A 20,077-nucleotide genomic window follows, 5' to 3' on the forward strand; every position below is an offset into this window, starting at 1 on the left:
GCACTTATATATAATATATGACTATGGCCAACATGGCCTGGTGTATACCTGAACTTTGTTTACTGGAAGAAGCTCTATTTTGCCTCAGGCAATGGGCTGATTCATAGAGGGCACAGTGGTGAGAGCTCCCTGCTCAGCCCTGGGCAGGAATGAGCCAAGATGTATGGAGCTGGAGTGGGGAGTTCTGCCTACAGGTTGCTTGATGGCAGCCACAAGCACTAGTGCCAAGGAAGAATCCACTCAGCAGCCAGCAAGCCTCCAAAGTTGTGCCTAGTCATGGAGCTGGGAAACCTTCTCATCTCTAAGTTCTCTGCAAGAGTATGGGAGTGGTCTTAACTCCTAACTCAGGAGAGTGAGTACTCCAGACACCTGGTGATTAGTCTAGGTATGGAGCAGAGAGGGCCCTCCTGTACCAAGATATCCACAAAGGAGGGATAGGACAACTCAGGCTGCTGAACGAGATAAGCAAATTGTCCGAATACCTGGAGATCTGCCTGGGCATGTATTGGAGAGGGCCCTGTTGCACCTTGATCTATGCCCTGGAAAACTGAGGTGGCTCAGGCTGCTGAACAAGGCAAATGGGTGCTCTCAATGCTTGGAGATATCCCTGGGCATGGAGTAGAGAGGGCCTTCCTGCACCAGGATTTCCACACAGGAAGGTTGGGGAAAGTCAGGTCGTGACCCAGGTGAGTGGGTGCTCTGAATGCCTGCAGATCTGCCTGCACATGGAGCAGAGAGGGCCCCACAGCATCATGATCTCAGAGGAGCAGGCTGGCACCCAGCAATTGCACTAGCAGACTGGTTCCAGGTCATCAAGCTGGCCCTGGCTGGATGTCTCACCACAAAGGTGAAACTGTAGCTGTAGCAGTTTTCCTACCAATCCAGACTTGCAACAAGTGGGAGCACAATTTCATTTTCTACTGCTGAGGTGCTTTCCACAGTTTTGGATTTGGAGGCCCCTACTCAGCTTCAAATCTCCGGCCCAAGGCTAAAATGCCTATGTGGCCACACTTCTGGGTTGCCAAAGTATGGTTGCCTTTGTTTTTGCCAAGATTGGAAATAACATTCTGCTCCCAGTCCTGGGTTTGGGAAATTGCCTACAGCTTTTCCTGGTGTCTTTCCCTCACAGCATCTCTGAGTCTCTTTCCAAGTTAGCTCCAAGACTTGAGAGAATGAAAGTTCTCTCCCTCAACTTGAGTTGTTCAAATGCCCAGTGTAAAGGTGAGTCACAGAGGGAAACCCTCTGCCTCTTTCATATACGGGAGCTTTACTCACTTTTATTGGCTAGACACCATAACAGGGGTCATTTGTGAGGATTTTCCTCCACAGGCTGTGGGGAGTTCTTCATGATTCCAGTGGATTCCCACTTTCTTTTTTAAATTAAAGATCACAGAGTTGATCTTTATGCACTATCTTGCTATTTTCAAGTGGCTGAGGCATGCTAAAAGCCCCTCCTCCCCCATATTTGAAAAAATAATCAACACGCATATTTAAAAATTGATAGAAAATCTAAAAACATTTTAATATTGAGAAAGTTTGCAAGTGGGGAAATAACTTATCTCTAAATGTTCTCCTCTATTTCATGTGTATTTTTTAAAAATAAAACCTTTATTCTTAATTTTTCTGACTAAGGAGAAAAGTCCAAAGAAATAAATAAATCTAAAAGCAAAATGGGGTTGTGAGAAGAGTGACAAAGCAAGATGGCAGAATAGAACTCTCCTGAGATTCTACCCTAATAGAAACATCAGATTGAAGTGTTTCCATACAAGATAACACCTTTAGAGGAGCTAAAGAAAACGATGGTAGATCAGAGTACCTGGTTTTAGAATAGTATCAAGGAAAGAGGCATTGAAGGGAGTAGGAAGGATAGAGCCTTATTTCCTGTAGTTCCTGTCCCACAACCCCAGACAGCACAGTGCAGAAAGAGAATCTATGTGTGTAGGGGAAAAAGAGACGTGTGTATAAGACTTTGTATTGGAACTTAGTACCAGCTACACCACATTATAACACAGCACTTGGAAGAAACTCAGCCCTTGATGCCAGGTCATTGTACATGAAGTGAGAATTTGGGCCCATTCTATGCCAGAAGGGAATCCACAGACCCATTGGAAGAAACTCTTTTCTCAACCTGCTTCACCAAATGGTGAAAAAAGTGGCTTCAGGCCTTTAATAAATTTCATTGGCAGGAAGGTTGTAGTAACTGCAATTCTCAAGCAAGTCCTGGTGCTGTGCTGGTCTGGAAGGCTGTGGGTTTGGAATATAACTAAGCATCACATCAACTGTGGTGACAATGGAAGTGTCTGCATCACCCTTCCCCCAACTCCATATAGTGCAGCAACAAGAGAGATTCCTTCTACCTGGGAGAAGGAGAAGGAAAAGATCAGCAGATTTTGCCTTAGAACCAAGTACCAGCCTCATCAGAAAATGCAGCAATAAGCAGAGACCTGCAGGCCCTAATTACAGACAGGTAGCCCTAGATGGCACTTCTAGACCCACCCTAGGCCACGGGAAATCCAGTGCCTTGATATAATGGACCCAAATCTTGGCCAGGATTGCCATCAGCTGACTAAACTGCTTCAGGCGGTGATTAAATATCTGTGGCAGTCAGTCAGCAGTAACCACAGGCCTTAGGCTAGCTCCTTTGCTACACTGGTCTGGGAGGTCATGGGTTTAGGATGTAGTCCAGCATGCTGCCAGCTGTGGTAACCATGAAATTACCTGTTTCACACTTCCTCCAACTTAGGGAAGTGCAGTGAGGAGAGACTTCTGTTTATTAGAACAAAGGAAACACTTTGATCTTTTCTAAATTCATTAGGGCTGAGAACACAGTAGTCTTTAAGAGTTGCAGTGCAACTGGATATAAGGTGCCCTCTTGTGCCAATATTTTTTTCTGTGACATCAGGCTTAGGGAATTCAATAGTCATCCTACTTTAAATTCCTAGAAGACCCTCTGAAGAAGGACAGGTATAATCAAGGCTTGAATGTAAAGACTGGAATAAATACCCAAATCTTCAATCCTCTGACACTGGTGAACATCCAGGAGCATCAAGAATATTCAGGGCAATAAGACCTCATCAAATAGATGAAATTAGGTACCAGTTACCAGCCCTGGAAAGATGGATATATGTGATATCTCAGAGAGTGAATTCAAAATTTATGTTTGAGAAAAGCCAACAAACTCTAGGAATATCACAAAGAATCAATTCAGAAATTTATCAGAAAAATTTAATAAAGAGATTGAAATAATTTAAAAAAATCAAACAGAAATCCTGAAGTGGAAAAGTACAATAGAGAAAGCGAAAATTGCATTAGAGGGTCTCCACAGCAGAATTAATAAAACAAAGTAAAGAATCGGTGCACTCAAAGATAGGCTATTTGAAACAAACAGGAGAGAAAAAGTAAAAATAAATAAATAATTAATTAAAAAGGAACAATATATGCTGATACCAATGAGATATATGGGGTGGTATAAAAAGAGAAAATGTAAGGGTCATTGGCCTTAAAGAAAGAATAGAATAACAAAAATGGCTAAAAAGCTAAATCAAAGTAATAATAACAGAAAATGTGTCCAACCTAGAGAAAGACATAAACCTCCAGGCAGAGGAAGGTAAAAAATCACCAAGCAAATGCCATGCGAATAAGACTACTCCAAAGCATATAATAATCAAACTCTAGAAGGTCCAGGACAAAGGGAAAATATTAAAAGAACCAGGAAAAAAGAAGAAAATGACACATAATGGGGCTTCATTACCTCTAACAACAGACCTCTCATTGGAAACTTTACGGGCTAGAAGATTTGAGTAACACATTCAAAGTGCTGAGGGGAACGATGACAACAAAATGCAACTTCCAACTGAGAATATTTTACACAGCAAAGATATCCTTCAAACATGAAAAAGAGAGAGATTTTCCAAACAAAAGCTCAGGCAATTCATCACCACCAGAACTATCTTACAAGAAATGCTAAAGGGAGTTCTTCAATATGAAGGAATAAGACACCAATTTGTAATAAGAAAACATCTGAAGATATAAAACTCACAGATAAAAGTAAGTATACAGACACATTTAGAATACTTTAATACTGTAATTATGGTGTGTAAACCAATCATATTTTTAGTATAAAGAATGAAATATAAAACAATTAAAATAATAAAAACAATTTGATAAGAGATAGATAAAAAGATATAAATTGAAACATTCATAAGTAAAAAAGTAGGAGAATTTGGTATTTAAATATAGAGTTGTTTAGGTTTTGGTTTGTTTGTGTACATTCTTTTCTTTGCATTCTAAGTAAAGTTGTCATCATTTTAAAATTACATGTTATACCTGTAAGATTTTTTTAGAGCATTATGGTAACCACAAATCAAAAACCTATAATAGATACCCTAAAAATCAAAAGCAAGTAATTAAAATGCACTATTAGAGAAAAATCACTTAACCACAAAGGAATATATTAAGAAAGAAAGAGAGCTGTTATGAAGCACGCAGAAATAAAGTAAGATCATGGTAATAATAACTCCTTACCTATGGATAATAACCTTAAATATAATTTTCAAATTAAAGGACATAGAGTGGCTGAATAAATAAAAATGCAAGGCCCACCTATATGCTGCTTAAACTAAATGCACTTTACTTATAAAGGCATGCATTAACTAAAAGTGAAGAGATGGGAAAAATATTCCATGCAAACATAAACCAAAATAGCAATAGTAGCTATAGTTGTATCATATAAAATAGACTTTAAATCAGAAAAGATCTTAAAGACAAAGTTATTAAATAATAAAAAATGGCTCAGAAGAGCAGAAGGTTAGAACAATTGTGAACCTATATGCACCTAACACAGGAGAATGTAAATATGTAATGCAAATATTAACAGCCATAAGGGTGAAATTGACTGCAATACAATAGTGCTGGAGAACGTTAACACCTTTCAGCCACAGACAGATCATCCAGACAGTAAATCATCAAACATCAAAGTTAAATCACCCTCTAAACCAAATGAACCGAACAGACAGTTAGAAAATCTTCTATTGAACAGATGCAGAACAAATATTCTTTTGTCAATGCACATGGAATATTCTTCAGGATAGAATATATGTTAGGCCACAAAACAAATCTTGAGTTTTTAAAAATTGAAATGATATCAAGTATTTTTTTTCTGACCACAATGTAATAAAACTAGAAATCAATAACAGGAGGAAATTTGGAAACTGTTCAAACACACAGAAATTAAATAGCATTTTAATATCAAACAATGGGTTAATGAATAAATTAAGGGAAATTTTTAAACAGTTAATAAGGAATTTAAAAATTGCTAGAAGCCAATGAAAAGGAAAACATATCATACCCAAACCCATGGGATACAGCAAAAGCTATCCTAAGAAGGAAGATTGTAGCAATAAATTCCTACATCAAACACTTAGATTTCAAATAAATGATGTAAAATTATACCTCAAGAAACTAGAATAACAAGAACTATCTAAATCTAAATTAAGTATATAAAAAGAAATTATAAATGTCAGAGCAGAAATAAACTAAGCAGAGACTTTAAAAAGAATACAAAAGATCAATGAAAGAAAGAGCTGTGTTTTTAAAAGACAAACAGAATCAACAAACAATTAGCTAGACTAAGAGGAAAGAAAGAAAACTCATAAAATCAGAAATAAAAATGGAGACGTTACAACTGATGCCACAGAAATACAATAGACCATAAGAGACAGCTGTGAACAACTATACTTCATTAATTTGCAAACAAAACAAAAGGATAAATTCCTGGACCCATACAACTTACCAAGATTGCAACATAAAGGAATATACGACCTGAACAAACCAAGAATGAATAACAAAATTGAACAGTAATAAAATGCCTCCTATCAAAGAAAGCCCAGGAACTGATGGCTTCACTGGTGAATTCTACTCAACATTCAAAGAAGAGCGAGTACCAATTCTACTCAAACTATTTAAAAAAATTGAAAAGAAGGAATACTTTAAAACTCATTCTACATGGCCAGCATGCCTCCATACTAAGACCAGAGAAGAACAAACAACAAAAGAATTATAGGCATATATCTCTAATGAACATTGGTGCAAAACCCCTCAGCAAAATACTAGCAAACTTAATTCAACAAAAGATTAAAAAGATTATGCACCATGATCTAGTGAGATTCATCCCAGGGATGCAAGGATAGTTCAACATAAGTAGATCAATAAGCATGATGTGTTACATTAACACAATCAAAGACCATATGATAATTTTAACAGATGCTGAAAAATTATTCTGTAAAATGTAATACTCTCTCATGATTAAAAACTCTTAAGAAACTTAGTATAGAAGCAATGTATTAGACTCATAATCCCAAAAGACACAATCCCAAATGGCATAATGCTGAATGCTGAATCTCTGAAAGATCAAAGCTCTTAAAGATCAAAATCCATAACATCCAAAATCCTGAAAATCACAATCACAGGCTACTTGCATTATGTTAGGCAAAACTATTACATTGTTACTGTCTTTATGCAGAAGAAAATAGATTTCATTTGAATCCTCAAACCATAATGTCAGATTTGGAATTGAGTGTAATCAAAACTTCTTAAAGTAAATTTCAAGGTCTCACCAATAAAGCTTGCTTTTTCCATTCACCCAATGCATTTGGAAGATCATTTAAATGAATAATTTGACCACAAAATCTGGTTATAATGAAAATTTCAGTTGAAAAACATGTCATTTGCCTGCATTGGCATTCCTTTCAACTGATGACATTCCACGACCTTTTAATGAATTAAAGCCACATTTTCCTGAAGAACCAGTGAAGTTACTGACTAATTTGAAAATAATTTTGTCCATAGTAGGATAAGAATTAACTGACACAATGGTATTGCTGTTCAATCACCAGTATTGTTTCTGCCAAATCTGTGGTCTTTATATGAGTGCATGAGAAATGAATTTTCAGATACCCCAAACAATATAGAAGCATGGCACAGAAGATGGGATAATTTAATAGGGAATGCTCAAGTCAGTGTATATTGGATCAAATAATTTAATAAAGAGCAGTGCAATGTAGAAGATGAATATGAACATGTTCTGCAAGGAGAGCTATGTGCTAAAAGAAGAAAAAGCAGCTATTTATCATGCTGCAAGAGTTCAAAATACAGTGAATGATTGCAAGAATCATCAGTTCTTATGGATTATTTCTGTGCAATTGCCCACAATCTATTCCTGCAAAACACCATTTCATATGCTTTATTTTCTTTTTAGTTATTTTTCCTTTTTTGAGTTTTTTTAATTCACTATTTTAAATTGTCAGCATAATTTTCTCAAAATTCACTATGCTATGTATTTCATCTTCACATCTTTTCCAATACTGGAAGTGTGAATTTGTAAAGATTTTTTGGTGAGTTTTAATCTGTTTTATGCATTTTTGGCAAATTTGACTTCATAAAAGTGCTTTGACTTTTAGGCATTGTGTGTGTATATGTAAAAATGTTGAAACTTCCTCAATAAATGAAAGGTTGTTCTCTTTATACATCTGCATTAGTGAAAGATAAAATTTCTCAAGATCTTAGCTTTTTTGAGAGGCTGGTATTACTGGAAATGAGGAACAAATAAAGGAATTTAATAAAGTTGCAGGATACAAAATCAGCATACAAAAATCAAGCGTCTTTTTATATGCTGATAGTGAACTATGTACAAAAGATATCAAGAAATCAATTTCATTTACAATAGCCACGAAAAGATTAAAATAACTATGAATAAACTTAACCAAAAGTGTAAAAGATCTACACAATAAAAACTATAATACATTGAAAGAAATTTAAAAGACCACAAATAAATGAAAAGAAATCCTGTAGAATTAATATTGTTAAATGTCCATATTACCCAAAGTGATCTACAGATTAAATGCAATTTTTATCAAACTACCCATGACATTTTTCACAGAAATAGGGAAAAGAATCTTAAAATTTATATGAAAATGCAAAAAGCATCACATTCTTTGACTTCAAATTATACTACAAAGCTGTAGTAAAAACAACAGCATGGTGATGGCATAAAAGCAGGTACATAGACCAAGGGAAAAGAATAGAGAACCCAGAAATAAATCCATGAATTTATAAGCAACTGATTTTTTGCAAGGTGCCAAGAATATTTATTGGCAAAACAACAGTCTCTTCAATAAATAGTGTGTTTGGAAAACTGTAACCCACATGCACAAGAATGAAAGTATACCTCTACCTCTCACTATATACCAAAACTATCTCTAAGTGTATTAAAGACTTAAATGTTAGACTCAAAACTATGAGACTACTAGAAGAAAATATAGAGTAAATGCTTTGTGAAACTAAACTGAGTAAAGATTTTAAAATAAGACCTTAGAAGCACAGGCAACACAAGCAAATATAGACAAATGGGATTTTATTAAACTAGAAAGCTTATGCTCAGAAATAAATAAATAAAGTGTAGTGACAACCTACAGGATGAGAGAAACTATTTGAAAATTATGCATCTGACAACAGGTTAATATTCACATACATAAAAAATTCAAAAAACTCAATAGCAAAAATCAGATAATCCAGCTAAAAATGCATAAATGGTCTGAATAGACATATTTCCAAGGGAGAGACTCACAGAGCCAACAGATATATGAAAAAATGTTCAATGTCATTAGTTATTTAAAAAAAATCACAATGAGATATCATTTCATCACATTTAGAATGGCCATTATCAGAAAGCCCAAAAATAACACATGCTAATGAGGATACAATGTAAAGAGAACACTTATACACTGTTGGCAGAAATGCAAACTAGTACATCCATTAGAAAACATGATAGAGGTTTCTCAAAAACTAAAAATAGAACTATCATATGATCCAGCAATCCCACTACTGGATATTTTTCCAAAGAAAACAAAATCAGTATATGGAAGAGATACCCATGTTTATTGCAGCTTTATTCACAACAGCCAAGATATGAAATCAACCTAAATGTTCATCCACAGATTAATGGATAAAGAAAATGTTATATATATGTATACACAATGGAATACTATTCAGCCATAAAGCAGAATTAAATTCTGTCATTTGTGATATATTAGGCTGTTCTCATGCTGCTAATAAAGACATACTCGGTCAGGCGCAGTGGCTCACACCTGTAATCCCAGCACTTTGGGAGGCCGAAGCATGCAGATCATGAGGTCAGGAGATCGAGACCATCCTGGCTAACACGGTGAAACCCCATCTCTACTAAAAATACAAAAAATTAGCTGGGTGTGGTGGCGGGTGCCTGTAGTCCCGGCTACTTGGGAGGCTGAGGCAGGAGAATGGCGTGAACCTGGGAGGTGGAGCTTGCAGTGAGCCAAGATCCTGCCATTGCACTCCAGCCTGGGCAACAGAGAGAGACTCTGTCTCAAAAAAAAAAAAAAAAAAAAGACTTACCCAGTACAGGTAATTTATAAAGGATAGAGGTTTAATGTATTTACAGTTCACATAGCTGGGGAGCCTCACAATCATGCTGGAAGGTGAATGAGAAGCAAAGTCACATCTTCTATGGTGGCCAGCAAGAGACCTTGTTCAGGGGAACTCCCATTTACAAAACCTTTAGATGTTGTAAGACATATTCACTACCATGAGAACAGTATGGGGGAACCCACCTCCATGATTCAGTTATCAACACTTGGCCTCACCCTTCACATGTGGGGAGTAGTACAATTCAAGATGAGATTTCAGTAGGGACACAGCCAGACCATATCATATGGCAATATGGATGACCCTAGAGTACATTAAGTTAAGTGAAATAAGCCAAGCCAAGAAAGACAAACACTCCACATAATTTCACTCATATGTGGATATTTAAAAACTAAATTTTATAGAGGTAGAGGGTATAATCATTGGTTAGCAGAGGCTGTGGAGGACAGGGGGAAAAGGGACGAGGACCAGTTGGTCAATAGGTACAAAGTTACACAGGAAAAATAAAATTTGGTGTTCTATTACACAGTAGGATGACTGAAACCAATAACAATGTAGTGTGTGTATATTTCAAATTAGCTAGAAAAGATTTTAAATGTCACTACTAAGAAATAAGACATAATTAAAGTGATGAATATAGCAATTACCCCAGTTTGATCATTATGCTATGTATGCATGTATTTAAACAGCACATTGTATTCCATAAATATGTATAATTATTATGGTCAATTATAAATAGAAATAAACTAAAATGATAAAAAATTAAACTTAAAAAAATGAATGGACCCCAGTTTCTAATCCAACATGCAAGGAATTTAGAAGTTGCCACTCCATCTTACCAATAAAGAAAAAGCTGAACAACATAAAAAATCAACAACTCTTCTTAGATCCATGAAAGAAGTGAGGCCACAGGACAAACTGCTGCCACCTAAACTGCAGAGACAGGCAGATGCAGAGAATCACAACATACCAGATCAGAAACCATGAGTAGAAACATTCATGGGTATCAGTGCTAGGGTAGAAAAATCTCAGCTATAGCTGGAAAATTGCTAGAGACTCAGTGTAGACAAATATATGAGATTAAAAATTCCAAAAGGATTCTGTCCTTTGGGAGGGCCCCACACTTTTATGAATTTGGCCTCCAGGTGCTCCAACAGGTTCTCACAGTGAATGTGAAAGAAAATTCTGCTTCCAGTAGCAGAAAGGGGAAAAGCAACCATTTAGAAATACTCCGGAACATTTTGTTCTACTTACTAAAAATTTCCCTGAGGAGAAACTATCTTATAAAATCTAACCTATGGGGGACTTATCAGAGCCTAACAGACCTGGAGGAAGTGAAACATCCAAATATAACTCCCTCTGGTTTTCTATATGGGCAGGAGGGAAATATCAAACTCTAAGCATCCTCTTCCACCTAAGGTGGAGGAAGAGTGAGAAGCACTGGTGAAGATCACAGTTCAGGGACACGGGCTTGCCAAAAAAATAAGACTTAATCACAGGATTATGGAACAGTTTCTCTCCCCCTACACCTTGCCACTACATTATTAAAGACCTAACTATTGCAATTCTTTTTATGCAGTATATCATGTCCACTTTTAAATAGAATTGCAAGGCATACAAACACAAAATTTTAACAATAAGTTTGAAGTGACTGAACAAGAGTCAGAACCAGAGTCAGAAATAGCAGGAACTGTTGGAATTATCAAAACAGGAATTAAAAATAAACAAATACAACAAAAAAACCAACAACAACTATAAAAATGTACTAAGAGCTTTAAATTAAAAGAAAAGCAGAAAATACATAAGAACTAGTGGATGATGTAAACAGAGAAATAAAAAATCTAAGAAAACAATATGGAAATGTCAGAGATAAAAAACACTATAATAGATACGAATAATGTTTCTAATGGGCTCATGAGTAGATTGGGTATGGCTCAGGAAAGAATTCCAGAGCATGAGAATATGTCAAAATGTCAACATGTCAACCTGTCAAAATGTCAATAAAAACTTCTGAAACTTAAAAGCAAAGTTTAAAAAAAAAAACTGAAAGAAACAGAAGAGAATATCCAGTATCTGAGGGATGTATCCAATGTGGAATTACAAAAGATGTAACATGTAATAGTTTAGCAAAAGGAAAAGAAAGACAGAATAGAACAGAAACAATATTTGAAGTGATAAAGTCTGAAAAATTTCCCCAAATTAATGTTAGACATCAAACTACAGATCCAAGAAATTCAGAGATCACAAGCAGAATAACTCCCAAGCAAACAAACAAAAACCAAAATACACATAAGTATGTCATATTCAGATTTCAGAAAACCAAAGATTAAAAAAAAGAAAGAATCCGGAGAGAAAAAAGGAAAACAAATTAAAACAAGTTATAATTTCTTTATTTTATTTACTGAAAGGTGTAAACAAAGATGAAAAACTCAAAATGAGAAACTTAAATGTATAAAGATCTGGCAGTATATACTAAAAACAATTAGTTAAATAGAAAAAAACAATATTTTTTTAATAGCATTCTAAATTGGATTTGAAAGGAATGACTTCATGAATAAAAGCGTTAGAAAAAGAGACAGATTTGGAGGTCAATTTATAGATTTAATCCACAAAAATAAGAAAAGAAAGAAATTAGTGTAAGTAATAACCTATTTTCCTTACTTGTATAAGGAGGATTTTAAATGATTGTGTCATTCTTTACTTAAAATTAGAGAAGATCCATTTAGAAAATATATTAATTACTTTATCCTGAACACATAAAAGTATGTTCAAGACAGAAACTTTTAAAATAGAGGAAAACTAGGGAGCCCTCTTTGTGTAGCCTTCTTTGTGTAGCCGCAGTTTGTCGGTCTCATAAAATAGAAGAAAACTCATAAAATAGAAGAAAACTAGAAAAAGACAAAACTCATTGGGAGGATAGTTTAACTTCCTCTGTTTCTATTTGCATGTCCTTTATCTCTTTCTCTTGCCTGATTGCCCTGGCCAGAACTTTCCAACACTATGTTGAATAGGAGTGGTGAGAGAGGGCATCCTTTTCTTGTGCCAGTTTTCAGGGGGAATGCTTCCAGCTTTCGCCCATACAGTATGATGTTGGCTGTGGGTTTGTCATATATGACTCTTACTACTTTGAGATATGTTTCTTCAATACCTAGTTTATTGAGGGTTTTAGCAAAAAGGGATGTTGAATTTATCAGAAGACTTTTCTGCATCTATTGAGATAATAATGTGTTTTTTGTCTTTAATTCTGTTAATTCTGTTTATGTGATGAATCACATTTATTGATTTGCATACGTTGAACCAACCTTGCATCCCAGGGATGAAGCTCACTTGATTGTGGTGGATAAGCTTTTTGATATGCTGCTAGATTTGGTTTATCATTGAAAAACATTCCATGCTCATGGATAGGAAGAATCGATATTAAAATGGCCAGACTACCCAAAGCAATTTATAGATTCGATGCTATTCCTATTAAACTACCAATGTCACTCTTCAAAGAACTAGAGAAAACTATTTTAAAATTCATATGGAACCAAAAGTAGCCTGAATAGCCAAGGCAATCTTAAGCAAAAAAGAACAAATCTGGAGGCATCATGCTACCTGACTTCAAACTATACTACAGGCTGCAGTAACAAAACAGCATGGTACTGGTACAAAAACAGACACATGGACCAATGGAACAGAATAGAGAACCCAGAAATAAGACCACACACCTACAATTATGTGAGCTTCAACAAGGCTTAAAAAACAAGCAATGGGAAAGGATTCCCTATCCAATAAATGGTGCTGGGATAAGGCTAGCCATATGCAGAAGATTAAAACTCGACCCTTTCTCTACACCATATACAAAAATTAACTCAAAATGGATTAAAGACTTAAAAGTAAAACCCAAAATTATAAAAAAAAAAACCCTGGAAGAAAACCTAGGCAATACCATTCACGACATAGGCACATGCAAAGATTTCATGGCAAAGATGCCAAAAGCAATTGCAACAAACACATTGACATATAGGATCTAATTAAACTAGAGGGTTTCTGCACAGCAAAAGAAAAGATCAACAGAGTAAACAGACAACCTACAGAATGGGATAAAATTTTTGCAAACTATGCATTCGACAAAGGTCTCATATTCACCAACTATAAGGAACTCAAGGAAATTTACAAGAAAAACATTTAACTCCATAAAAAATTGGGCAATGGACATGAACAGACACTTTTCAAAAGAAGATATACATATGGCCAACAAGCATAAAAAATGCTCAACATCATTGATCATTAAAGAAATGCAAATCTAAGCCACAATTAGATACCATCTAACAGCAGACAGAATAGTTATTAAAAAGTCAAAAAGTAACAGATGCTGACAAGGTTATGGAGAAAAGGGAATCCTTTACACTGTTGGTGGGAGTGTAAATTACTTTAGCCATCTTGGAAGACAGTGTGCCAATTTCTCAAAAACCTAAAGACAGAAACATCATTTGTCCCAGCAAACACTTTACTAAGTATATATCCAAATAAATATAAATTATTCTATTTTAAAGACACATGCACACATATGTTTATTGTAGCACTATTCACAACAGCAAATACAATGGAATCAACATAAATGCCCATCAATGATAAACTGGATAAAGAAAATGTGGTACATACCCACCATAAAATACTTTGCAGCCATAAAAAATGAGATTATGTCCTTTGCAGGGACATGATTGAAGCTGGAGGCCATTATCCTCAGCAAACTAACAAAGGAACAGAAAACCAAATACTGCATGTTCTCATTTATAAATGGGAGCTAAATGATGAGAACATATGAACAGACAGAGGGGAATAAAACACACTGAGGCCTTCCAGAAGGTGGAAGGAGGGAGAAGGTCAGAAAAAATAACTAAAAATAACTAATGGGTACTTTATACCTGGGTGAGGAAATAATCTGAGCAACAAACTCCTGTGACGCAAGTTAACTTATGTAATGAACCTGCAGTTTATTCTTGATCTTAAAATGAAAGTTAAAAAAGGAATATATATCTGTCTTAAATTAATGCTAATTGAAGTTATCAGGGATTCTCTCCATTATTCTTTGTTTTTATCTTTGGAGGACATCCAGAAGAGAATAGGAATGATGCTGACTTACGCACTTCGTATGGGTAGTGGAACCAGTAATAACTGTTTGTTAATAATGATTTTAAGTGAGAAGAATCACTTTTAATATTTTGTTGGTGCTTACTTTCACATATCAACCACATAGTATGCAACTACCTTGTGGTTCAGGCTTAAAAGAGTGCTGCATTCAAATAAACACAGTTTCAATCACCACCAACTTACTGAAACATGTAAAAATATCCCCTGATGTCTCTCAGTTGAAAATATATAGCAATGGTTTGGTAATTTTATCCTTTCTTTCCTTGTCTGTCTGCTACCCAGTAACTGTCCCTGCAAATACCTCTCCTCTCACTCCTCAGCTCTGTCTACATTGAGTTTTGTAGTTTTCTCTTTCTTATTATATTTATAAATACTATTATTTGCTCCTTATAATCTTTCTCCTTTCAAATAATAACTTTCGCCTCTCTGGCATCCCCTACCCTTTCTTACTTCATATTCCCTTGATTTTTCACCAGAAAAATCAGAAAAAGAAAAAACAATGATAAAATTATCCCTAATGGTGGAATGTGAGGGAGAAAAGACTTAAGAATATTTGTTTGTGATTTTTTTTTTACCCTTTGAACATTTTGAGTTTGTATATAATATTTTAGTAGGTTTGAGATTTTCCTCTATATGACAATGATATTTTCTTGGTGGCATCTTCTGGGTATATATTTCAACCTATTGTCCCTTTATTTTTCTCTATGACTCTAGGAGTTTTCTTCTTTCTCTCTTTTCTATATTTGCTCCCTTTGCCTCCAACTTTTACCTTCATTTCCAGTTTCATAAGTAATTCCTCACACATCTTTTGGTTTCTCACCCTTTCACCTCAAAGTGCAAAATTACTCTTACCTCCCCTCCCGGAAAATTACTTTCTCTTTCATCTCGTACCTTTGGCATTCATTTCCTGTGGGGTTTCATCACAAACAGCAGCAGGTGATGTTAACTGTTTAAAAGCCGTGGAGGCAAAAAAAATCACAGACATCAGTTGCCATGGTCAAAATATATACAGTCACTTCGAGGGCACTAAATTTTCACAAACAGGTTTGCATTCGTTTTCTAACAGTAGTTTGTATTATATTAGTATATTAAAAGGTAACCTAAAAACAGATCAATTGTTTTCCTTAGTATTATTATCATAAATACTGGCAAGAATCAGTGTAGCCAGGGTGTAACTTTGACACAGACAATTTTTGAATCAAGCAACATATTTTTAAGTACAATTCAAAAATTCCACTTGACAGACATCCCTTTTTAAAAACCCTTGCAGTCCTCAGAATCCTTTTAAATGCTAAAGCAATGTCCTAACACTGATGTTTGAGTTTTTTATGGGCCATTAAGTTGAGTGCAAAGTCATAAATTATCTGTAAAAGTTACCCAAATTATAGCTATCTGTGGTTTTTCGATAAAGGCCAAGAATGTGTTTTTTTAAAACACACCCCATTGCATGGAAAACCGCCAATCATGGAAAATATGTCTACTATTCTACTTGTTTAGAAGTTTTTGAGTAACTTAAGTGTTTCTACTAAGCTGCTCTTCATTAAAAAAAATCTTCATTGACGCAAACTTACAATAAATATTGTCAATATTATTATTACTGCCATTCAAAAGAGCATGCCATATGGGATAGAAAAGACTCTGCCTTATTGAATTTATTTATTTATTTGGTTTTAAGATGATCTACAAAAGGCATTATAACAAAAACACAGTTATTTTAAACTCACAAGATCATAAAACTTCAATCTACCTGAGCTAAGCTAATACAGCTGAGTCTCATTAATATGTTTACCAAGGACATTCAAACATCAAAGATGAAAACATCTGTATTCTAAATCAGACTTTATTTTATTTAATAAATAAAAATTATGCAGTTCTTTTCATATTTTAAGTCTAACAAATTTCCTGGATCCTGAGGCTTTATGAGTTATGACCAAAGCACTGTCAAGCTTGCAGACAGCAGGTAAAAGTGATAGCAACATTTCTTTTCTAATTAGAATGAATTAAAGTGGGATTATTTGCTGTTTCCCTACACATGTATTAAAATGTTTCTAGAGTAGTGTGACATATCCTAACTAGACTTAAGTAAGAGAAAATAAAAAATCTTAAAGAAACTTTTTAAATAATGTTATATATTATTGACTTGCTTTTAATAGTTTATGAAACTGCTCAGAAAACAAAATTGGTAGTTTTTGCCCTGAATAATGACAGAAAACTATGATTGCTACAAATCTGAAATGTGTAACAGTTGTTTTGAAACTTTAATTTTTTTTTTTTTTTTTTTTTTTTTTTTTTAGCAGAGGAATGCTTTTGTTTTTTTACAGATGGAATGTTGCAAAAAGCACTGACCCATGCTTTGGTGAGTGCTACTGCACTATTTGTCAGTAAATTTGATTGACTTTATACACATAGTTACTAACAAATAAATCAACAATAAAAATGAAGACAAGGTTTTGTGAATACTAAATTGAAATCAGGTGTTAAAGAAAGATGATTGTGATTTTTTTTAAGCTCAGCCTTCAACTTCTGTGTTTTTTTGTGTGTGCGTTGTTTGCCCATTAGTAAGATCATTGTGATCCACCCAAACAGGTAGTTGCAAAGGTTAACATTATTGTTATTTGAGACAACAGTTTACATTGCACTTTCTGCTTACTATTCAATTAATCTGATCCATATGCTAAAAAAGAGTAATGAGATGCATTTTTTAATTTATTTATTGTTACTTTTTTTTGAGACAGAGTCTTGCTCTGTCGCCCAGGCTGTAGTGCCGTGGCATGATCTCGGCTCACTACAGACTCTGCCTCCCGGGTTTAAGCAATTCTCCTGCCTCAGCCTCCTGAGTAGCTGGGTCTACAGGCGCATGCCCCCATGCCTGGGTAATTTTTTTTTTTTTTTTGAGACGGGGTCTCACTCTTGTCACTCAGGCTGGAGTGCAATGGCATGATCTCAGCTCACTGTAACCTCCGCCTCCCAGGTTCCAGCGATTCTCCTGTCTCAGCCTCCCAAGTAGCTGGAATTACAGGCACCCACCACTATGCCCAGCTAATTTTTGTATTTTTAGTAGAGACGGGTTTCACCATGTTGGACAGGATGGTCTTGAACTCTTGACCTTGTGATCCTCCCACGTAGGTCTCCCAAAGTGCTGGGATTAGAGGTGTGGGCTACTGTGCCCAGGCTTTTCAAATATTAATACAAAAATATCCACAGATTCCTCATATTTGTTCTCAGTGTTTAATATGTAAAGAGGATATAATTTTCTCACCATTTATATATTTTTTATAGTAAAAATATTTTTAAATGTATCCTGTAATATTATGAGCTAATTGATGATGCTTCATATTTTCTCCCAGGAAACCCAGAGGTTATTATTATTGGATAATAACATCTTATACACAAAGAGTAAAATATATTTTGTTTTAAGGGTGGAATTCAAATTTGATATTCATGTTACATGCGTAAGCATGTAACATTTATAGTCAGTAACATAGCTAGAGTTGCACTTGTTACAAAAGACAATAATATATCTCTGGTGTTTATCCATGTTCTTGAGTAAAAAATTTAGATAAAATTTCTTCATCACTATATAAATGTAAATATCAAAATAATTATATCTCTATCTCTGTAGCTGATAGCATTTGAAATATTCAAAGCAGCTCTTGCTTTTGAGATAGTCTGATATTTTAACATAAACATATATATTTGTACTTGCTATCCAAATAATTTCAAATAAAAAGCTGGGAATTTTATATGTATCTTCATAATATTGACTATAATGATAATTTTTCAACTTGTTTTATAGGAGGACTATTTCCCTTAATAGTTAAGTTTAGATTTGTTACTGTATTAGTTTGTTTTCACACTGCTATAAAGAACTGCCTGAGACTGGGTAATTTAAAAACAAAAGAGGTATAATTGACTCACAGTTCTGCATGGCTAGGAAGGCCTCAGGAACCTAAAATCATGGCAGAAGGCAAATGGGTAGCAAGACATGTCTTATGCAGTGGTAGAAGGTGGCAGCAGGGGGAATTGCCAAACTTTTAAACCATCAGATCTCATGAGAACTCACTCACTATCATAAGAACAGCATGGGGGAAACTGCCTCTATTATCCAATCACCTCCCACCAGGTCCCTCCCTGGACACGTGGGGATTACACTCAAAATGAGATTTGAGTGCGGACACAGAGCCAAGCCACATCATTCCACCCCTGGCCCCTCCAAAATCTCGTGTCCATTTTAGAATTCAAAACCAATCATGCTTTCTCAATGGTCCCCCAAAGTCTTAACTCATTCTAGCATTAACTCAAAAGTCCAAGCTCAAAGTCTAATTTGAGACAGGGCAAGTCCCTTCTGCCTATGAGCCTGTGAAATCAAAAACAATTTAATTACTTCCAAGACACAATGGAAGTACAGGCATTGGGTAAGTATTTCTGTTAAAAATGAGAGAAATTGGCCAAAATAAACGGGACAGAGGCTCCATGCCAGTCTGAAACCCAGCAAGGCACTAATTAAATCTTAAAGCCCCAAAATAATCTCCTTTGACTCCATGTCTCACATCCACGGCATGCTAATGTAAGAGGTGTGCTCCCTTAGCCTTGGGCAGTTCCACCCCTGTGGCTCTTCCAGGTTACAGCTCTTGAACCTGCTTTCACAGGGTGGAATTGAGTGCCTGTGGCTTTTCCAGTCTCACAGTGAAAGTTTTAAATGGATCTACCATTCTGGAGTCTTTAGGATAGTGGCCTTCTTCTCACAGCTCCACTAGACAGTGCCCCAGTGGAGATTCTCTGTGTGGGGGTTCCAGCCCCACATTTCCCCTCTGTATTGCCCTAGTAGAGATTCTCCATGAGGGCTCTGCCCATGCACCAGACTTTTGCCCAGAAATCCAGGCATTTCCACACATTCTCTGAAATCTAGGTTTCCAAACCTCAACTCTTGTCTACTTTGCATCTGCAGTCCCAACAGCACATGGGAGCTACCAATGATTGAGGCTTACACTCTCTGTAGCAACAGCCTGAGTTATAGAGCTATACCTTGATCCCTTTCAGCCATGGCTGGAGCTGGAGTGGCTGTGACACAGGATGCCATGTCCCAAGACTACACAGAGCAACTGGGCCCTGGGCTCAGCCAACAAAATCATTTTGTCCTCTTAGGCCTCCAGGCCTTTGATGGGAAGGGCTCCCACAAAGATCTCTGAAGTGCCCTGAAGTCATTTTTCCCATTGTCTTGGCTATTAACATTTACCTCCTCCGTACTTAAGCAAATTTCTGCAGCTGGCTTGGCCTTGAATTTCTTTCCTGAAAATAGGTTTTTCTTTTCTACCACTTGATCAGGCTGCAAATTTTCCAAACTTTTATGCTATGCTTCCTTTTTAAACATAAGTTCCAATTTCAGAACATCTCTTTGTGAATGCATATGACTGTACACTTTCAGAAAAAGCCAGGTGAACCTTGAATGTTTTGCTGTATAGAAATTTTTTCCACAGATACC

Source organism: Homo sapiens, chromosome 8 (assembly GCF_000001405.40).
Source record: "Homo sapiens chromosome 8, GRCh38.p14 Primary Assembly".
Taxonomy (NCBI): domain Eukaryota; kingdom Metazoa; phylum Chordata; class Mammalia; order Primates; family Hominidae; genus Homo; species Homo sapiens.